Source organism: Homo sapiens, chromosome 1, assembly GCF_000001405.40.
Source record: "Homo sapiens chromosome 1, GRCh38.p14 Primary Assembly".
Taxonomy (NCBI): domain Eukaryota; kingdom Metazoa; phylum Chordata; class Mammalia; order Primates; family Hominidae; genus Homo; species Homo sapiens.
In genome coordinates this window covers 162,953,970-162,974,246 of record NC_000001.11, presented here as the reverse complement: position 1 = coordinate 162,974,246, position 20,277 = coordinate 162,953,970, and positions in this window count along the sequence as shown.

Genomic DNA, 20,277 nt, shown 5'->3' with positions numbered 1-20,277 from the left:
TGACAAAGTTCCTGGGTTCAAATCCCAACACCCCCAGTTACTAGTTATGTGACCTTGGACAAGTTGATTAAAATCTCTGTACTTCAACTCCTTTATTTGTAATATGGAAATGATTTTTTAAATTACCTATCTTCTGGGTCTATTGCAAAATTATCTTATTTAATAATAAGATAATCCACTTAAGGCACTATATGTGAGTTTTTGCATGTAGTGAGCACTTGAACCAATAGAGTATATTTCCTTTTGAATGTAAGAAATTCACAGAGACAGCTTCTCTATAGTAAAGGTAAGAATCAAAACTGAGTTTCTATAAATTACTTTGTATTGCTTAGAGAAAGAAGTCATGGCAATAGATTGAATATATTTTAATTTAAAGTAGAAAATTATATAGGAAAAATAGATATATCTTCCAGAGCTCAGTCTCAAAGGCCACATTTTCTTTTGAGTATTTTAACCTCCAAAACATACTTAGTATGTGGTGAAATTGCCTACTTCTGGGTTGAGTAATGTGAGCTATCATTACCATGGTAACAACAAGGCCAATAACTTGAACTCCAGTCATAGTAGCTACAATAAAGGGGACTCAGTTTGGAAATAATTAGAATCCATCCTTTTTGAGACTGAAATTCATTGCCTTTAAGACTCAATCAACATTCCTGGTGGTAGTCTGGAATCAGCTCAAATCAAGATACATCTATCTTTAAAAAGAATATAGGACAAGAAATCCAAAATAGGAAAAAAATCAAATCATCTTATCTTTCTGGTGCATTTACTAGTCTGATGAGTCATAAGAAAATAATAACCCAGAGGTTAGAAACAAAGACATAAGCACAATTCCTTTCATTCCATGGGTAAAATTGAATTATAGTGAGTCCCAAACTTTTTTTTCATAAAAACAAGGCAAATGGACCCATTTTTAAGTTGAAAGTATTGACCCGTTGTGTTTTTGCTTCTATAGTTTTGTAGAATTCAAAATTATAGAATGTTGAAATTATGAGGAATCTTTCAACATGATTTTATAGATTTAACAAAAGTCCAGAGGGATACGTGCGACTATAGTCCTAGTACTTACAAAGGATCCACGTGAGATTAGAACTCAAGTCATAATTTTCTGTCTTGTCTACTATATTAGGTTACCCTTGTGGAGAATCTAACATTTCATGTTATGCTTCAATAAAACTTTTCTATCTAGTAAGGAAGTAGAGATAATTATTAAATCACTTTCCAACTGCCCTACAACACGGGAAAGACAAATAGTGATGAGTGGGTGTTGACAGCATCTCAGAAATGCCTGAAGATGCCTATGATTTGAGAGAGGCTAAAATCCTGTTACTTAACACTCTAAGGCATATTTATATTCTGCAATTATTCTTCTACACCCTCTAACTTCTGCTGAAAAGGGTCCCTTCTCGGTAGCTCATTTTCTCTCATTAACATCCTTCCAAACTTTCTCTCCTCTCCCACCGCATTTTCAAACATCTTGCCAAAGGGAGATGCCAGTTAAGAGAGTCCTGGCTGTTCGAAAGAGGTTGAAGGGCTCACACTCCATTCAGACGTCTCTGCTCCTCAGCTGCAGGAATGTGGGCTCTTTGGGAGGTAAGAGACTCTAAAAGGGACAAAGAGGCCACTGGAGCCTCCATTCGTGATGATGTTTTCTTCCTAGTTCTGCAAACCAAAAGTTCTGTTTTGTTGGTAGATCCAAAGGAGAACTCTCTGGAAGCCTCTGTTCTGCACAAGATTAATTGAATGGAATAAGTACCTGAGCAAGCAAAGAAAGGGTCTTGAACTAACTCTCAGAGACCCGTGCTGCTCCAACTCTGGCCTGGGTTCCAAATGTTTTACTTTTCACAGTAGTATCTAGAACTGATCACAACCTCCCTGATCTCCCCAGTTGCAGTCCTTTGTTTTTTTTGTTCATTGTCTCTATACTTGTAATCCTTCTATCTCCCAGCCAATAACCTAGTTTTCATCAAGCCACGTTTTTCATTGTCTCTCTCTTCTTCTTTGTTCAACTCCTACACTGTTGTTCCTTTGACCAATTTGATAAAATCCAAACTCCTCCACCTTAGGACACATTCTCCTTTCCAACCATGCCTATGGATTTGTTCTTCCTTGCTACTAACTCATTGATGCACACCTCTCTGCTCTTGCCATTCCTGCCAGCAATGTCTTCCTATCAGGCCCACTTCCTGGCCCCACCCTCTCGGTTCAGCTGGGCCCCCTTATCTCCACACCAGCAAGGAGGTGCTGTTCTTCTTCAGCTCCTGGCCCATTCAGTGTGAGGCCAACAGCATGGCAACAGCCCTGACCCCTCTCCATCTGCCACTAAATCACAGCAGCTGACTTTCAGACCTTGGGTGTTGGGCCTGCCCAATCTTCTTGTCATCTCACCTGCTATATCGGTCCTGTCCCTAGAACTGATATTTTGCCTTGGTCCTTGCTCTTAGGTCCTGGCTGAGTTATCTTCCTGACCGGATTGTCCTCCCTGTCATTCTTCTCTCTTCTGAACTTTAGCCAATGTATGGGCCCTACTGTCTGTGGACTGATCTCCAAAACACTGCCCAGCCTGCAGACTCCCACCCACCTTGTGCACTTAAATAAATTTGTTCGAAGCTCATAATAATGGCTTCCATCAATTGTTTATGTATTTAACTTTTGTTATTTTCTAAAGTTTTATTTTGGATTTTGGATTTTTATTTAATTTGGTTGTATTGGTCGTTCATTTATATGCTTTTATTATCTTCTCTTTATGAAGTATTTTATGAACATTATCTTATTTAAACCTCATAATAACCCTAATCAGAATATATTAATATTTGAATTTTTATATGAAGAACTTGATGTTCAGAGAAATTAGGTAACTTGCCCAAGGTCACATAGCTTATGAGTTGCAATGATCTTTTGTCAAACCTGACCTAAATTCTGTCTCTTACGAGAAGGCTTTCCAATTAATACTTAACTCCTTGGCTCATGCTTTCAGTTTGTGGTGCAAATTGATGGACTCACTATTTTGTGTGCTTCAACTGTTTGTATCTCAACACTTAAAGATTCTCAAGGACAAAAATCTTTTCAAAAGTAAAATAATATTGATTCCTCCAAATGACAGAGAATAGATTCATAGAAAATGATGTTGGCTGAATCAGTCTACCTTCACGTACGCTTAGAGTGAATTGGGAGGCATAGTAATATAGTGTTTAGAAGTATGGATTAACCGCTCAGGTGACCTCTTTGATCTATGACTCAAGCTTCATTATTAAATGGGCACAGTAATGGCCAAGCCCTTGCTGCCTCATAGAGACAGAGGATATCCCACCAGAAAAAAAGGCCCACAGCTTCTTACTCATGATGGCTTAGATGAGAACAACACTTTACAGCTCACAGAGTAGCATCACAAACCTCCTCATCACAAACCTTTGCAGTAGGCAGCCATCCCTATCACTATTTTAAAAAGAGGTGATGACGGTTCATAGCAAATAAATAATTTGTTCATAATCATTCAATAAGAAAGAGACAAAATTAGTACTCAAACCCAAATCCCCTGACTCAAGCCCAGTACTCTCTCAGTCATGCTACATGGCTGCCTCTTCTTGCATGAAACAATTCAATGATGCAGGCTCCAGATAAAGAGAAAAATCAGCATAAGAAATTTCTATTTCTAAAGATAAATAGATGCCAATAACTTTCACATTCCCCAGCTAAAAATACTTCTTAAAAAGCCATGGCTGGACCCCATCCTAATGTGGCCTTAATGAAAATATCATATTATGCTGCAGCCTCTTAAACCCTTTTGTCCTATCAAATGTACGTCTCCCTTTGCCTTATTTCCCTTGGTCACAGAAATCACATAAACAGTGGCTAAATGACTGAGGCTACCAGGGATCTATAATAATTCAAATACACAAACATGAGGCCTAATTTTAGACTGTTCCAGGATAGTAGACATTCTGGGAGTCTGCAGTGCTTCTGGTTTGGTTGCCGTGTTTGTGGCTCCGTGTTAATTAGGAGGGATGGCTTAAAGGTCACTCAGAGCAGTCAGCCCCATCATGTGAAATGGAAGAAGGACTGGGGCAGTGAAAATAACTCGAGCTATGAATTGTATTTGGAAACTGCATTTTTACTAACAGACAAAAGCTCTGTGTTTTGCTGGCTGAGTTCTAACACAGAAATTTCATTTGCTGACCCTGCCAGGGACAAAGAGAACCTGTTTCTTAAATGCAGAAAGGGTAAATGAGTCTCTGCTCACCTGCAAAGGAGCAGGCAAGCTATTCATGCCAAAAATACACTCTTTGCCTTCACATTAGTCACTGGCATTCTGTCTCTGGTCTTCATGACCTTTCAGAAATATTTCTCCACTGACCCAAGGACAGCAGTGACCTTCATGTGTTTTCACTGCATTGCTACAACATGAGAAGCCAGGACAATAGTGGTGGCGAGGACATCTTTATTAGAAGAGAAGGACCCTATATATACTAATCCTTACCTCCAGATAAATAGAATCTCCAGAAAAGGAGCATACGGTGAAGAGGAAGGGAAGTCCCCACAACAACGCCCACCACCAGCCTACTACTCCTACCCTGGGGAGCGCAGTCAGCTAATGAGCAGGATCCATTTAACAAATTTCGTGAAACTCTTTGTATTAGTCTGTTCTTACACTGTTAATAAAGACATACCCGAGACTGGGTAGTTTATAAAGGAAAAATGTTTAATAGACTTACAGTTCCACATGACTGGGGAGGCCTCACAATCATGGCAGAAGGCAAAGGAGGAGCAAAGTCACGTCTTAGGTAGTGGCAGGCAAGAGAGCTTGTGCGGGGGAACTCCCATTTATAAAACCTTCAGATCTCATGAGACTTATTCACTACCATGAGAATAGTATGGGGGAAACTGCCCTCATGATTCAATTATCTTCACCTGGCCCCGTCCTTGACACATGGGGATTTCTACAATTCAAGGTGAGATTTGGGTGGGGACACAGCCAAACCATACCACCCCTATTGTGTGCCAGGAATAATACCAGGTAGTGTGAAAGCTGAAAGGAATCAGTCAGAGTCTCCACCTTCACAGATGGCATAGTGTAACAGAAAAAAAAATAGATATGCACTTTAAAAACTATTATAGATATTTATTTGTAAAATCATTTAGGAGGATAGAGACATGAGCAATCTGTTCTGCGTGGGGCTGGGTGGAGGATTCAGAAAAGTCTTCATGAATAAGAGGTCACTTGAACTTAGCAATGAAGGGTAAATATAATCACATTTTAGGCACAGAATAACACAAGGAATGGGCAGGAAACAAAGAAAAAGTATGAAAGAAGATAAAGAGATACCAAGTACCTGTATGGAGGATAATGACCATTTTGTCATAGCCTCAGCCAACAAAAGAATTTAAGCAGAAGGCATAGGGTCACCTTTGCATGTTAGAAAGGGGATTCTGAAATGTGGAAGAGAAAAAGCAAGCACCTGAGCCAGGAGTGACGATATAGTAAACTACTTAAATAGACAAGGGGAGAAGAGATGAAGACCTGACCAAGACTAAGACCATGGGGATGAGAGGAAAAATCTTCTGCTCATAAAGACACTGAATGCTGTTGATAGATTTTTCAAATCCCATTTTTACAGTGAACTCAATGTGTATGGTTCTAGAGTCAGCAGAGCACTTTCATCTTCATGATCTGATGCCCATCATTCCCTAGACTCAGTGAGGTAAGCAGAGAAATTATCTAATGATGCCGTTTTAGCATCACTAGAAATGGAAACGATGCAGTTTTATAAATTGGAACTTTTAGGAACTGAAACAAAAAACAAATGAAGGTGAGGGGTGGAGGCCAGGGTGTGGGGAGGGTAGCCCAGAGCATGGAGGAGCCAGGATAGCCAGCCTCAGAGACACAGGCAGGAGCAAGGGTGCCTGAGGGCCAGGGGACCAGGAGCATCAGGAGAACAGAAGGACAACCAGAAAAGGGGGTGGGGTGGCAATCTCCTTTCCGACACTTGAGAAAACAGAAGAAAACCTTGCTTGACTCCACTCTTCTTACATGCTACCATTCCATTCCTCAAAAGCATTCTCTTTACTTGCTGTTCCCAAATCCTCCCTTCCCACTCACTCTTGAACCCATACTAAAAAGGCTTTCTCCGCCACCACCCCATAGCAAGTCTTGTCAAAATCATAAAAATGCCTCTGTTTCTAACCTAATAATCAATTATCAGTCTCCATGTCACCTGTGCTATCTGCAGCCTTTAACACAGTTGATCACTTCCCCCTTTTTTACTGCACTCTTCCCTTGGCTTCCAGGACCCCTCACTCTCTGGATTTTTCTCTTACCTCACTGGTTTCTCCTTTATGGGTTCCTCCTCTCCTATCACCTCTTCATGCTGGAGTGGCCCAGGGTTCAGACCTTGGTCATCTTTTCTATTTGACCCCCTTCCTTGGTAACCTCAGTTACTTGGCTTTGAGTTTCCTCTATATGCTAAAGACTTACAAATTTAAACCCTTGCACCTTCAGCCCAGACCTCTCTCCCAAATTCTAGACTTGTATATCTAACTTCCCATCCAACATTCCTGTTTTTCTACATAAATATTTCAAACTCAATATAAAAAAAAAAAGCTAAACTTCTAATCCTCTTATCTCTCCAAAAACTTGTTTTACCTTCTGGTATCTCTATCCTTCCAGTTGTTAGGTAAAATATCTTGGAGTCATCTCTGGCTTCTTTCTCACTCTTTACATCCAATCTAGCAGCAATTTCTGCTGGTTCTAGCTTCAAAATGCATCCAGAATCTAGTCACTCCTCATAGTCCCCCTGCTACCAACCTATTCTAAGCCTCTACTACTTCTCATCTAGATTACTGCCTGTTATGGGTTACATTGTGTTTCTCCCCCTTCCCTCTCTGCTTTCTCCAAATGTGTTAAAATCCTAAACTTCAGGCCATCAGAATGTGATCTTATTTGGAAATAGTGTCATTGCAGATGGAATCAAGTTAAGATGAGGTCACATGGACATGACCTTTTTTCAACATGACTGGTGTCCTCAAAGGAGGGGAAAATTTTGATACAGAGAGACACACACAGAGGGGAAATGATGTGGATACACCTAGGAAGAGGACAGCCATGAGAAGACAGAGGCAGCAATTGGAGTTATGCTGCCACAAGCCAAGGATTACCTGGAGCTACCAGGGGCTAAAAGATGCAAGGAAGGGTCTCACCTAAACGCCACAGAGAGAGCACAGCCTGGCTGACACCTTCATTTCAGACATTTCACCTCCAGAACCCTGAGATAATAAATTTCTATTGTTTTAAGTCACCAAGTTTGTGTTATTTTATTACAGCAGCTCCAGGAAATTAATACACTGTAATAGCCTCCTCACTCCTCCTTGCTTCTACTCTTTCCCCCGGCCCTTAAATTTGTATACAACAGAGCAGCCCAAATAATCCTTTCACTGTAAATCATGCCCTGTCACTTCAAAACAACTCAACATTCTCAAATGTCACTACTCAGAACTCTCCCATGGCTCTCCACCTCATTCAGAAGAACACCAAAGTCCTCATAATATAATGGTCTATGTGGCCCTACATGTTCTCTCTCCCATGGCCTCTAATCATCTTTTTCTCCTCTCCCTCATGTCCTCTGATCTAGCCTCTTTGATGTTCTTTATACCTATCACATCTTTTCACATTTTAGCAGTCTTTGCCTGGAAAAATATTTCTCCAGGTATTCACATCCTTCAAGATTTGCCTAAATTTCTCCTTCTTGAAGTGCCTTACTCTGACCATCCTACTTAATGCTGTAAATTGCCCTGCTCTTCTCCAAATCCTAATGCTAAATTTCTCAACCTTGATCTTTCTCTCTGTCTTTTATTTATTTATTTATTTTTAATTTTTTTTGAGACAGAGTCTCCCTGTCATCCAGGCTGGAGTTCAGTGGTGCAATCTCGGTTCACTGAAGCTTCAACCTCCAAGGCTCAAGTGATCCTTCCATGTCAGCCTCCCAAGTGGCTGGGACTACAGGTGCATGGCGCCATGCCCTGCTAATTTTTTTTTTAATTTTTTTGTAGTGAAAGGGTCTCACCATATTGCCCAGGCTGGTCTTAAACTCCTGGGCTCGAATGATCCACCCACCTCGGCCTCCTAAAATGCTGGGAATACAGGTGTGAGCCACTGTGCCCACCCCATCTCTTCTTTTATTCCATATTACTTATTATTTATTAGAATACCTTATTATTTTCTTATCTATTACATATATATTTTTGCCTGTCTCTACCCACTAGAACATAAGTTTCAGGAGGCAGGGGTTTTTGTTTGTTTTTATTTGTTCATTGCTTTATCTTAAGCGTCTAGGACAGTATATAGCACATAGTGGGAGCTTCATAAATATTGGCTGAAGTGTTAAATAAATTTCTTGCCTTATTATTTTGCTTAGAGAGAGTGCTACATTAAACATCGACAAAAACAGTGATGTGTATGAGTGCGCATGTGAGCATCCATGAGCACTGGTGTGGAGGAGAAGATGTAATTTGGAATTGGGTTTAATTCTCAATTCTGGCCATTTCTAGCTGGACAACTGAATATGAGTTACATCAACTACCTCAATTTCATAATCGTAGAATGCACGCAATAATTTCTACAACACACAGTTGTGAAGAACAAATTAGATAATATGTATAAAAGTGCTTTGGCAAACCAGAAAGCACTCTAATACTGTAATTAGTAACATTTTGTGTTTGTTGAGACTTATTTTTTCTTTGTGGTTCTACTCGTTGTTAACACTTTCTGATTAACCCGGAAATTTAGTTAGCCAGGAGAACATGATGTAAAAGAAACAGAATCTGGTTTGGCATTAGACCTATGTTTTGGCTTACAGACTTGAAGTTGCGGGCAGCAGCTTTTAAAGCCCCTTTGCGTAGAGGAAAGCCATCAGGTGTCTGCTGATTGAAGCGAACTAGACAGTACACCATTGGCTTGTACTTTCCGCTATTTTACCTCTGACGTCTATAACATAATTATTTTTATCCTTTATATCACTTTTAAATCACTAGGAATAAACCTAAGCAAACCATTTTGACTTGTGCCTTTAACTTATCTCCAAAGTCAGAGGTGCAGTCTAAGGAAATCTCTGAATGAAGTGAAAGGTTCGTTTAAAATCATGTTTACTTAACAGTATTTTGCTCAGTTATATTCTTGCCAGACAAAGAAGAAAGTTATCCTGATAAGAAGGAGCAGTGTCAAATAGCTCTGGAGCAGTATACCAGAATAAAGATTATCATACTAGTCTTTTTCCAACATGTTCTGAAAACTTTAAATAACTTTGCCTGCTTGATTTAGATACCTTTGATCTTCTTTGCAAATCCTGAGGTTACCATGCCTCTTTGGATTTGGAGTCTTGGCAGATTCTGCAAGTATGTGGCTCAAGGACATGGGTTGAGTGGAGAGAAGTGCAGGAGTATGGGAGAGCAGCCAGCTTTGAGAGACCATCCAGATTTGAGGACAGGGGTCTCTGAGCTGGATGATCTCCTGCTCCAAAATTTAGTTCCTTCTTCTATAACAAAGAAAAATAACGTTCATCCCATTAAATAAGAATTAAATGACATAGTATATATGACATATCCACTACAGGGCTTAGCATGTATTAGGAGCCCCCAGAATCGTAGCAATTACTGCAATTGAAATGAACCTGAAGTCACATTTCTAATCAGCATTAAGCAAAAGAGACACATTAATTAAAAGAGCTAAAGTACTTGGGAATTTTTTTTAATGAGTTGAGTCTTGTATTGAGCCTGAAGATTACACAGGATTTTGGCAAGTAGAGAGAAGGAAAAATGGCCTGTTAGGCAGGACAATCATCATGATCAATGTTGTGAAGGTAGAAAGAAGCACAGGGTACATTGAAAAAAAAAAGTGAAAAATCAAATGAGTTTGAGGATAAGTAGTAGAATCATTAGAGACAATATCAGATAGCATGTTGGATATTTATTGTTATTGTCCATCTAGCACCTATCCCCCACCCCTTAGACAGGTAAAGAACTTCCCTTGTTATAAAAGAAAAAATCCATTTCATGCTATTCAGACACCTCCCTCAAATCAAACAAGGATTATCAAAAGATAACTGAGCAACCATCTATCATAAGACACTTGAAGGAACTAAAACAATTAAAAAGAGGCAAAAAAAAGTTCCCCAAACTGAAGAACTAAATACTTCAGGAGGTAAAATAAAGTAATGCAGTCACTTGAATATAAATCTCTTCAGAAATATATAACATAATGTTATATCCATAACAAATCGACTTCAGAGAGACTACAGATTAATAGTTAAAAGTGGGCCAGGTGTGGTGGCTCACGCCTGTAATCCCAGCATTTTGGGAGGCAGAGGTGGGTGGATCACGAGGTCAGGAGATCGAGACCATCCTGGCTAACACAGTGAAACCCTGTCTCTACTAAAAATACAAAAAAATTAGCTGGGCATGGTGGCAGGCGCCTGTGGTCCCAGCTACTCAGGAGTCTGAAGCAGGAGAATGGCATGAACCCGGGAGGCAGAGCTTGCAGTGAGCCGAGATCACGCCACTGCACTCCAGCCTGGGCGACAGAGCGAGACTCTGTCTCAAAAAAAAAAAAAAGAAAAGTGAAAGAAAAATCTCAATAGACAGATAAACAGTGAATTAGAGGACTAGAACATCAAGTAAGGATAATCTCTTAAAACACAGCACAATAAAGAGATGGAAAAAAAAGACGAAAAGTGCAAACATGAACCAAACCAAGCAAATTAGAATTCTTACTGAGACTTTTCTAGTGGACCATGTAAGGAGAGAAATTCTTTGGGTTTTGGATATTCAGGAGGATGAAATAGCTGCCCACTGTTGTTTGGCCCACCACGTAGAAGATGAAGTAGAGCAAGTAAAAGGAGGACTAAGCAATAAAAAGAGACAACACTATAACCATCCAACAGGTTCATTTTGCAAGCTGCCTGGATAGAGCCAATTTATCCAGACAGAAGAAACGCAATAGAGAAAGAGTTTAATTCATGCAGAGCCAGGTGAATGGGTGGCCAGAGTTTCATGACTCAAATCAGTCTCTCTGAAAATCCAGAGGCTATGTTTTTCACAAATAGTTTGGCAGCCCAGGGAATGGGTACTGCTGATTGGTTGGGGGTGCAATCATAGGGGTGCGGAAAATGGTCCTTATGGGTGCCTGAGTCCACTTCTGGGTGGGGCCATGGGACTAGCTGATGGGTCCAGGTAAAGGCATTGGTCATCAGAAATGCAAAAACCTGAAAAGGACATCTCAAAAGGCCAATAGTGATATTATCTGCAGGAGTAATTGGGGAAGTTGCAAATCTTGTGACTTCCAGAATAAAGTCTGGTAGTCATTTATATCTACATCTTAGCAGAATTCAGGCTCTTCTCATCCTCCCAACCTGGTGGTCTTTCATTAGCTTTTCAAAGTTGGTTAATTTTGAGGACAGGCTTTCATCATTTAAATTATAAACTAAATGTCTCCCCAAGTTAGCTTGGCCAAAGCCCAGGAATGATGAGGAGCAGTTTGGAGCCTAAAAGCAAGAGATGGGTGTTGGTTAGATCAGATTTTTTTCACTGTCATAATTTTCTCACAGTTATCATTTTTGCAAAGGCAGTTTCAATGCTACAATTCCATTTCTTACAATAATGCAGTAGCAGAGACTGGGTTTATCCTCCACATACAACAATAGAAAATGAAGCAGACTATATGAAATAATTATTTTTAAATGCTGAAACATAAGCAGGAAAGGTCTCTTATCTCTAAGAGGAAAACAACTAGAAGCATTTTTGAGGTTGCCATACAGAAAGGAAAAACTCAAAGCCCAGCACTCCTACTAAGTTAAGGAGACAGAGATGGGAGTTCAAGGAGACCAGGTCAGCTAGATTTAATGAAAAAGAATATCATAAATAAGGGAGATGCACAGAAAGAAAGCTTCACAGATCTGTAGAAAAGTCTCCTTGGCACTTTGGTTGAGTACTTATCTCTACATGAGTGAGAAGAAACTTCCCAAGGTTAGGGAAACAGCAATGGAAAAAACAGTCCACTAGATAATTTCCATACGTCACACAGGGCCAGGATTGGTTTATGTTCCCAAAAGCTAGAGTGAAATGACCTCATAAGACAAGTGGCATCCAGTAGTCTTTAGAAGATAGTGGCTTTATTAATAGTGTTAGATTTTCCCTAGAATGATAACAGAAGTGAGGGACTGAGGGAAAGATCTCAATCAATTGAGGTTTATTGAGCCAGCTTAAGGGCATGTCTGGGAAAAATATGAGATGCATCTGTGGCTTTTTTTCTGAAGAGATTTGTCAGGAGGTTTAATATTTATACATTCCCTTAAAGGGTGAGGAGAGGCAAGTAGGAAGATGGGCAAGTAGGCAATAAGGTGAATAGTTACAATCTTGTGGGACTTTAGCTGGTGCCCAGTAAATCTACATTTTACATAAGGTAAGGTAAATGTTTTAAGATTAAAAAAAAAAAAAGGAGTAAAGGAAGAATCAATTATGTAGACATCTCCAGGTGGGTTGAGAAATTATTAATCTTGGTTTGTCTTTGTTCTACCCCTGGGAAGATAAGCTTAAAATCAACATCACCAGTGTGTAATGGAACAGACTTTTGTTTTTGAAGCTAGGCTTAGTTTATAGACCTAAAGTTACTATGTCCTTGGCATGTCCTTTTTTATGGGGGGCAAGCAAAGAATTTACTTATGAATGATCTGTGGGGGCAGTCATTTGTAGATGCCTGAGGCCTTCTATATTTCCATGGGGATCTGGCTGATGCATAATGCTAGTAACAGCTATTGATTTGGAAGAGGGTGTTGCATGACTCAAGCCTCCAGACTTAATCTTTCCGTTGGCATAAAGAGTTTGAGGAGCCTGAGATTTTGCATTTTTCTTTGCAAGACCAAAGGCAACTCTGGAAATGCTCTAACAAAGGTTAGAAGTAACTTTGAAAAAATACAACTGACTCCAGGTAACGTAAACAAATGCCATTACACATTCCAACTCTATTTAAAAGAATACAACAAAATTCAGCACATAGTGACATAAAATTCACAATGTCCAGCATCCAGTAAAAAGTTGCCAGACATATAAAAGAAAAATGTGACCCATAAGCAAAGAAAAAATAATCAATTACAAGAAACATAAATGACAGAATTGATGGAATTAACAATCAAAGACATTGAAACAGCTATTTTAAATATACTCTATGAAGGGGTGGCAAACTTTCTGCAAAGGTCACATTATTGGATAAAGGACAGATATTATTAGATTTGAAAGTTATGTGGTATCTATCAGAACTGTCCAACTTTGCCACCGTAATGCAAAAGCAGCCATTGACCAGGCACGAATATCCACACCAAAAACTGCAAACAACCCAATCATTGATGAGTGATTGGATAAATAACTGTGGTATATCCATGCAGTGGAATACTCCTCAACAATAAAAATAAAGAAACCACTTAAATACATAACAAAAGTCATGAATCTCAAAGCATTATGCTAAGTGAAAAAAAGCTAGTTTCAAAATGTTACATAGTATATAATTGCCTTTATGTAGAATTTTAGAAAAGGCAAAACTCTAGTGACAGAAAGTATACCTGTGGTTGTCAAGGATTAGGGATGAGAGGAGAGGATTGACTCCAAAGAGGCATGAGGGAACATTTTGGAATGATGGAAATGTTCTATATCATGACTGGTGATAATTACAAAGTTGTTTAAATTTTTTGAAATTCCTTAAACTGCATATTTAAAAGGTATATATTTATAAAGTAGATTTTAAAGGAACTAAGTATAAAAATGGAAATTAACCATTCGAGAATTGAAGTACAAAGTTGGGCTTTACAGTTGAATTAAAAAAACACAATGGACATAAGCTAGAAGATAATATAATGAAACTCTCCCCCCAAAACTGCATAACACTCAAAGACTAGAAAGTATGGTAGAATCAGGAAATGTTCAGTATAGACCTAAAAATTCCACCTTATTTCAGAAGGTGCTAACAGAGAAAAGAGAGAACAGGAAATGATACTGTAATTCTGATCGTGTATCTTATTATTTTGATTAGCTTCTTCCTTTAAATAACGAAAGGCTGAATAAGAAAACTTAAAAGACTCGGCTGGGTGCAGTGGCTCATGCCTGTAATCCCAGCACTTCGGGAGGCCGACACTGGTGGATCACGAGGTCAGGAGATCGTAGCCATCCTGGCCAACACGGTGAAACCCCGTCTCTACTAAAAATACAAAAAGAAATTAGCTGGGCGTGGTGGCGGGAGCCTGTAGTCCCAGCTACTTGGGAGGCTGAGGCAGGAGAATGGCGTGAACCCGGGAGGTGGAGCTTGCAGTGAGCAGAGATCGCGCCACTGTACTCCAGCCTGGGCAACAGAGCAAGACTCCATCTCAAAAAAGAAAAAAAAAACAAAAAAAAAAAACTTAAAAGACTCTAGGCTGACCCAGGCCTACAAAAAAACAAAAGGAAGAAAGAAAACTTAAAAAACAAGACATATACTAGTGGGAACATTTGCAAAGTATGTGACAATGGATCTGCATTTAGAATAAAGAGCAAACTAAAATGCATGAGAAAAAAATACATAAATTGATTAAAAAAGAGAAAAGGAAATGAGCAATTTACTGAATAAGTAATATAAATGACAAATATATGAGAAGATGCTGACTTTCAAAAGTGATGAGAAAAAGGCTAATTAAGATATAATTTTGCCATCATATTTACAAATATTTAAAAAATAAAATCAAATGACATCAAAAGTCAAGAGTTGAGATTTTGAGAAAATGGCATGGCTAGAAACTGCTTATGCAATATTGTTTTATTCAAGCTACAACTTAGTACTATTTATCAAAGATTAAGATGAAAATCTTATGATCCATCAAGTTACTTCTAGTAATTTGGTCTAAAGAATTTTTTTATCTATAGACACACAAGTACAATGATGATTGCATATAATAGCAAAGAGTTGTAAACAACATAAATGTCTAACAGGGAAGATTCAACTCCATTCTACAGAATCTTATTCAGATAGAAAAAATAACTGGGGTAGATCATCATGTAGTGACATGGAAAGATCTTCAAGATGTATTATTAAATATAAAAATCACATATATGGATATTATACAAACATACATATATGGTCATATTATTTTTCAATTGTATTTTCAAATGTGTATGTAAATGTATGTATTTGAATATTAATGTAGAGGCAGTCCGGAAGAATGTATGCCAGAATGTTCTACTAGTGATGAGGAATAGAGGGGAGATGAAGGAGAGTTTTCCCATTTTGTTTCATTTGCTAACCAGTAATTCTTCTACCTATGAGGTTCTGGATGAACATGAACTTACAGGAAAGAGTGGCAAAGGAAATTATTAGCAGGGATTATAGTTGGAACTCCTAATCAGAACTATGATAGTTATAATAGCTCTGATAAATGATACGGATCTAATCGACTTAAGAACAAGGCCTAAAAATGAATTTGTGAGGCTCCTTTATCTTCTTAAGCCCAAACCCCAGATTTCCAGTTAGTCACAAGGGATAGGAGGTCAAAGAGATAAGTGTCTGGGAATATTGAAAGAATAAAAGAGGGAGACCTCTCAATGTCAGGCTCTTCTTCCTTCTCCTGTAGTCTGGACTCTATTACTTCAAAAGCCACTTGGAAGGGGAAAACAGAAAGAGAAAGCCCGCAGGTGAAGAGCAGCTGGAGCAACAAGAAGCAAAGAAACCCAGGTATCTATTCCTGGGGGTAAATGCGACCCAGGAACCACCTTAAAATAAGATTAGTATTTCTTCTTTTGGGGAGAAGAATGAGAGAAATGTGGAAGAACTTTCCCTTAGGAAAAGAGAGTAGCTAAGAACTTGTCCTCTCCTTCAATTCTATGTTTGCTCATAGGTCTGGCTACCTTATTTGCAGAGCCCTGTGCAAATTGAAAAGGCAGGACTTCTTGCTCAAAAACTATTAAGAATTCCAAGGTAGCAGCAGCAGAGCATTTAACCAAGCCCAGAGTCCTATTCTGTGCTAGGCCCTTTGAAACTACACAGGTTGCATACCTATGAAGAAAACCTGTATTTTCTTTTAAAACACTGCGCTTTACAGACAAGACTGATTAACAGGGATATGGCTGGAGGAAAGAAATGGAGACCATCATGGAAGTCTCTGCCCACATCTCTGCACCCAACACCTACTTCTGCTTCCATGTATTTGTATTTGTCAGGGTTTCAGCAACAACAAGCAAAATCCTCAAAAAGGGGTTGTTTAAAAACTATTAATGAAGAGACTTTGTACAGAAGTGTGGCAGAGTTAAGAGAAAGTGGAAAGCCACTGCCATCCTTAGGCCTGAAAGAGCAAAGGGAAGTTTGGTTACTAGAATTCAGGGTCGCTTGTAACTATGAGAGAAGACCAAGGAAATGAGCACCTCCTTAAGTAAAAGAAAAAGCCCCTGTCAAGCAGAGGCCCTGGAGAGGGTAGCCAGGAGAAAAATATCCCTCTCTTTCTCCCTCATGGGCCTATGCTTCCCACTGGTGGGATTGAAAGCCAGTGGGCAAGGGAGGGAGCTGGTCAATGCTGCCCATGAAGATCTGCCTTCAGGGAGCAAACCAGGTTAGAAAGGGGATCTGGACAAATGGGAAGTACCCTTGATGGTGCTCCTAGAACCAATGAGACAAACAAGGAAAAGGTAGCCCTCAGAAGCTTCTGGAAAGAGCTAGAAAGGAACATCAAAATAAGTTCCAGGCCACACTAGTCACAAATAAACAACATATTCACTTTCCTACCTTCAATTACACCGAGGTAGGTTGTCCACTTCAACTCACCACAAGGTTATACAGTGAGCACCAAATGGCACCAGAGACCAAATAATCAGCTAGTAATGTAAAGATGCCTCAGAATTAGACAGTACAAGCCCTCTCCCAGAAAAACAAGAAGTCAGAACCTAGAATATTAAACATGTGATGAGAGGGAATAGTGCCCTAGGAACATTCACCTGAGAAAATGTGAATTCAGGGGATTTCTTGGTGAGCACGACCTCTTTAAGGAGTATTCAAGAAAAAAGGATGGCAAAGATTCTCAGTAGCTGATTTCAGAGAAGAACAGTCAATTAAGCAATTCCAGGGGCATGAGATCATTCTGCATCCCATAAACACGGTCAATGTTCCCCTATGTTGGTAACAGCCTGTGCTGAAAAATCTAAAGCAATTAGTTTTGTCCTCCCAGGCTTCTGAGCACCTACTTCAATCAGATGAAAAGGTTAAAACAAGAGCTAAATATGCCTTGTTGTCACCATCAGGGCAGCTTTGTCCTTGATGGAAGCATTCACTGGGGTCAACTCATTCAAGATTTGGGAGCCCAGGTAACAAAAGAGCTCACCTGGGACACTCAAAAACAGCAATTGCCCAAAGAACTGGGGACAGGAACATTTGAAATCAATATCACTTGAAAAATAAAGCGCGGCTCATTGCGTTCCTATTATAATTTTACTTTGCCTCTGCTTTAGCCAGGAAACGGTCAGTAATAGCTGAAAAACATTTATTTACTCATTCTTTCCTTCATGGTATTTTGTTTCATTGCACTTATTTTACTGCCTTTTCATCTCTGGTTATATGTGGAACATTTTTATAATAAAAATCAAGGGAAAATACTTCACTGTAATGTCACCCTCTAGCTGTGTGACCTCAGGGAAGCCAATTCATAGAAAAATAACCTTTAATAACTGAAATAAATTTCAACATCATCTTCAAACTCTCACTGCACAGATGAGACATAGAGGGAGCGGATATCAAAGTCTCCAAGTAAGCAAGGGTAACAGTTCTCTAGACCTATCTACCACCGTTCAGTGATTACTCAGTTCAGTTCAGTCCAATTCAACTCAATGTTGTAATTTAATTAACATCAAAGGAGTGCCAGCCACATGGAGGGCACGCTGTTCAATGGTATCAGAAGTTTAATGATGAGTTTAACAGTCTCTGTGATAACACAGTAGAAAAGGTATAGACTTTGGTACCAGAATCATTTCAAGTCCTAACTCAGCAACTTACAGGCTGTGAGATGTTTGGAAAGTTACTGGGTCATTCTTACTTTCCACATTTGTAAAATGGGAATCATACCACCTAAACTCACAGAGTTGTAAAGAATTTAATAAACGAATGGATGTAAAATCCCAGCACAATGCTAAAATGGTTGTTTTTTCTAATCCCATCTTCCTCCTTAAAGGCCTCCAAGTTATTCTTTTTCCATATTCCCATAGCACTTTGCAATATCTCTATTATAACATTTCTATAACTGTTCTATAATTACATGTTTCTGTCTTCCAATACAAGGTACTACATGTTTCTGTAGTACCTTGAGGGGAGGACCATGTATTATTTATTACTGGTAACCTAAAGTGATAAGATATGCGAACACACTTAATTAACTATAAAGCACCTGTGATGGTGAGTTTCATGTGTAAATTTGACACATAAAATACAAGTTATTTCATTAAACACTAATCTAGGCACCGCTGTGAAGCTATTTTGTAGAAGTAAGTTGACTTTGAGTTAGGATGAGCTTCATCCAATCAGTTGAAAGGTCTTAAGAGGAAAACTGAAGTTTCCCAAAAGTAGAAGAAATTCTCCCTGTGACCTACAGTGTTGATCTACAGCCAGTGGGCCTGCCCCACAGATTTAAAACTTTCTAGCTCCATGATCACATAAGTCAATTCCTTGAAGTGAATCTCTTTTGACATAGATATAGATAATATAGATAGACATAGATATAGACATAGATACAGATACAGATGGATACCCCACCGCTTCTCTTTCCCTGGTAAAAGCCCAACTGATACAGATTTACCCTAATACAGTATCACACAAATACTTGTTGTTACCTATTGTCTTAGCCTTTAGGGCTGCTATAACAAAAAACCATAGACTCAGTAGCTTATAGACAACAGAAATTTATTTCTCACAGTTCTGGAGGCTAAGTCCAAGATTAAAGTGCTGGCATATTTGGTGTCTTAGTGAGGGCCCACTACCTTAGACAGCAGTCTTCTCATTGTGTCCTCCCATGATGGAAGAGGTGAGGTGTCTCTCTGGGGCATCTTTTATAAGTGGACTAATCCCATTCATGAGCGGTTCACTTTCATGACGTAATCACCCCTAAAGGCCCCACCTCCTCAAACAATCATTTTGTGTGGGGCAGGGGTGGTTAGGATTTCAACATGTTTTCGGAAGGCGGGGAGAACATACACATTCACACAATAGTGGCTACAATCCTTCTAACTTTAAAATTCCATGGCCTTCTCTTGAGTCATTACTGAAGATAATGACTCTATCATTATTGCTCAATAACTCTTTCTAAGACATTCATTTCATGTTTTTACCCTCCATTCTGCCATGAACTTTTGCAGAATTGTTTACACTTTCAAAGTCTTGTTTCTTTATATGTCAAATGAAATATAAATGGAATAATGTAATGGTGAAATAATGTAATCATTCTTTATAGCAGTGTAAAAATGAACTAATACAATAATAATGAAAAAATAATAAAATAATGCCTAGAACATAATGAGTATTCAATGAATGTTAGCTGATTTTTTATTTTTTATTATTATTGTATTTGTCCATTTTTACACTGCTATAAAGAACTGCCTGAGTCTGGGTAATTTATAAAGGAAAAAGGTTTAATTGACTCGCAGTTTCACAGGGCTGAGGAGGTCTCAGGAAAGTTACAATCACAGCGGAAGGGGAAACAAACACGTTCTTCACATGGCAGCAAGAAGGAGAAGTGCTGAGCAAAGGGGTAAAAGCCCCTTACAAAACCATCAGATCTCATGAGAACTCATTCATTATTACCAGAACAGCATGAAGTGTCTACTCCCATGATTAAATTACCTCCCTCCGGGTCCCTCCCACCACACATGTGGATTATGAGAACTACGACTCAAGATGAGATTTGGGTGGGGACACAGCCAAACTGTATCAATTACTATTGTTGCTGTTAGTCTGAGACCCTGGAGGAAGTCCATAGTGTTACCTTTCTGACTCACATTTTAGGTTGCAGAGCTCATCTCCTGAAAAGATGCTACGAAAGGAGGCTTGGGAAGTGAGTTTTGACATTATCTCCAATAGCTATCTCTGTGAACCTTAGGTAGTCACTTTATGTCCCCACAGCTCAGTAACTCAGTGGGTTAGTTATTGGCCCCTTCTTTTTCATTATTCTGAAGTTCAAATAAGTCAGTGTAAGAATACACCACAAATGCACATATACATACAAAAACAGTAGATACTGAAGA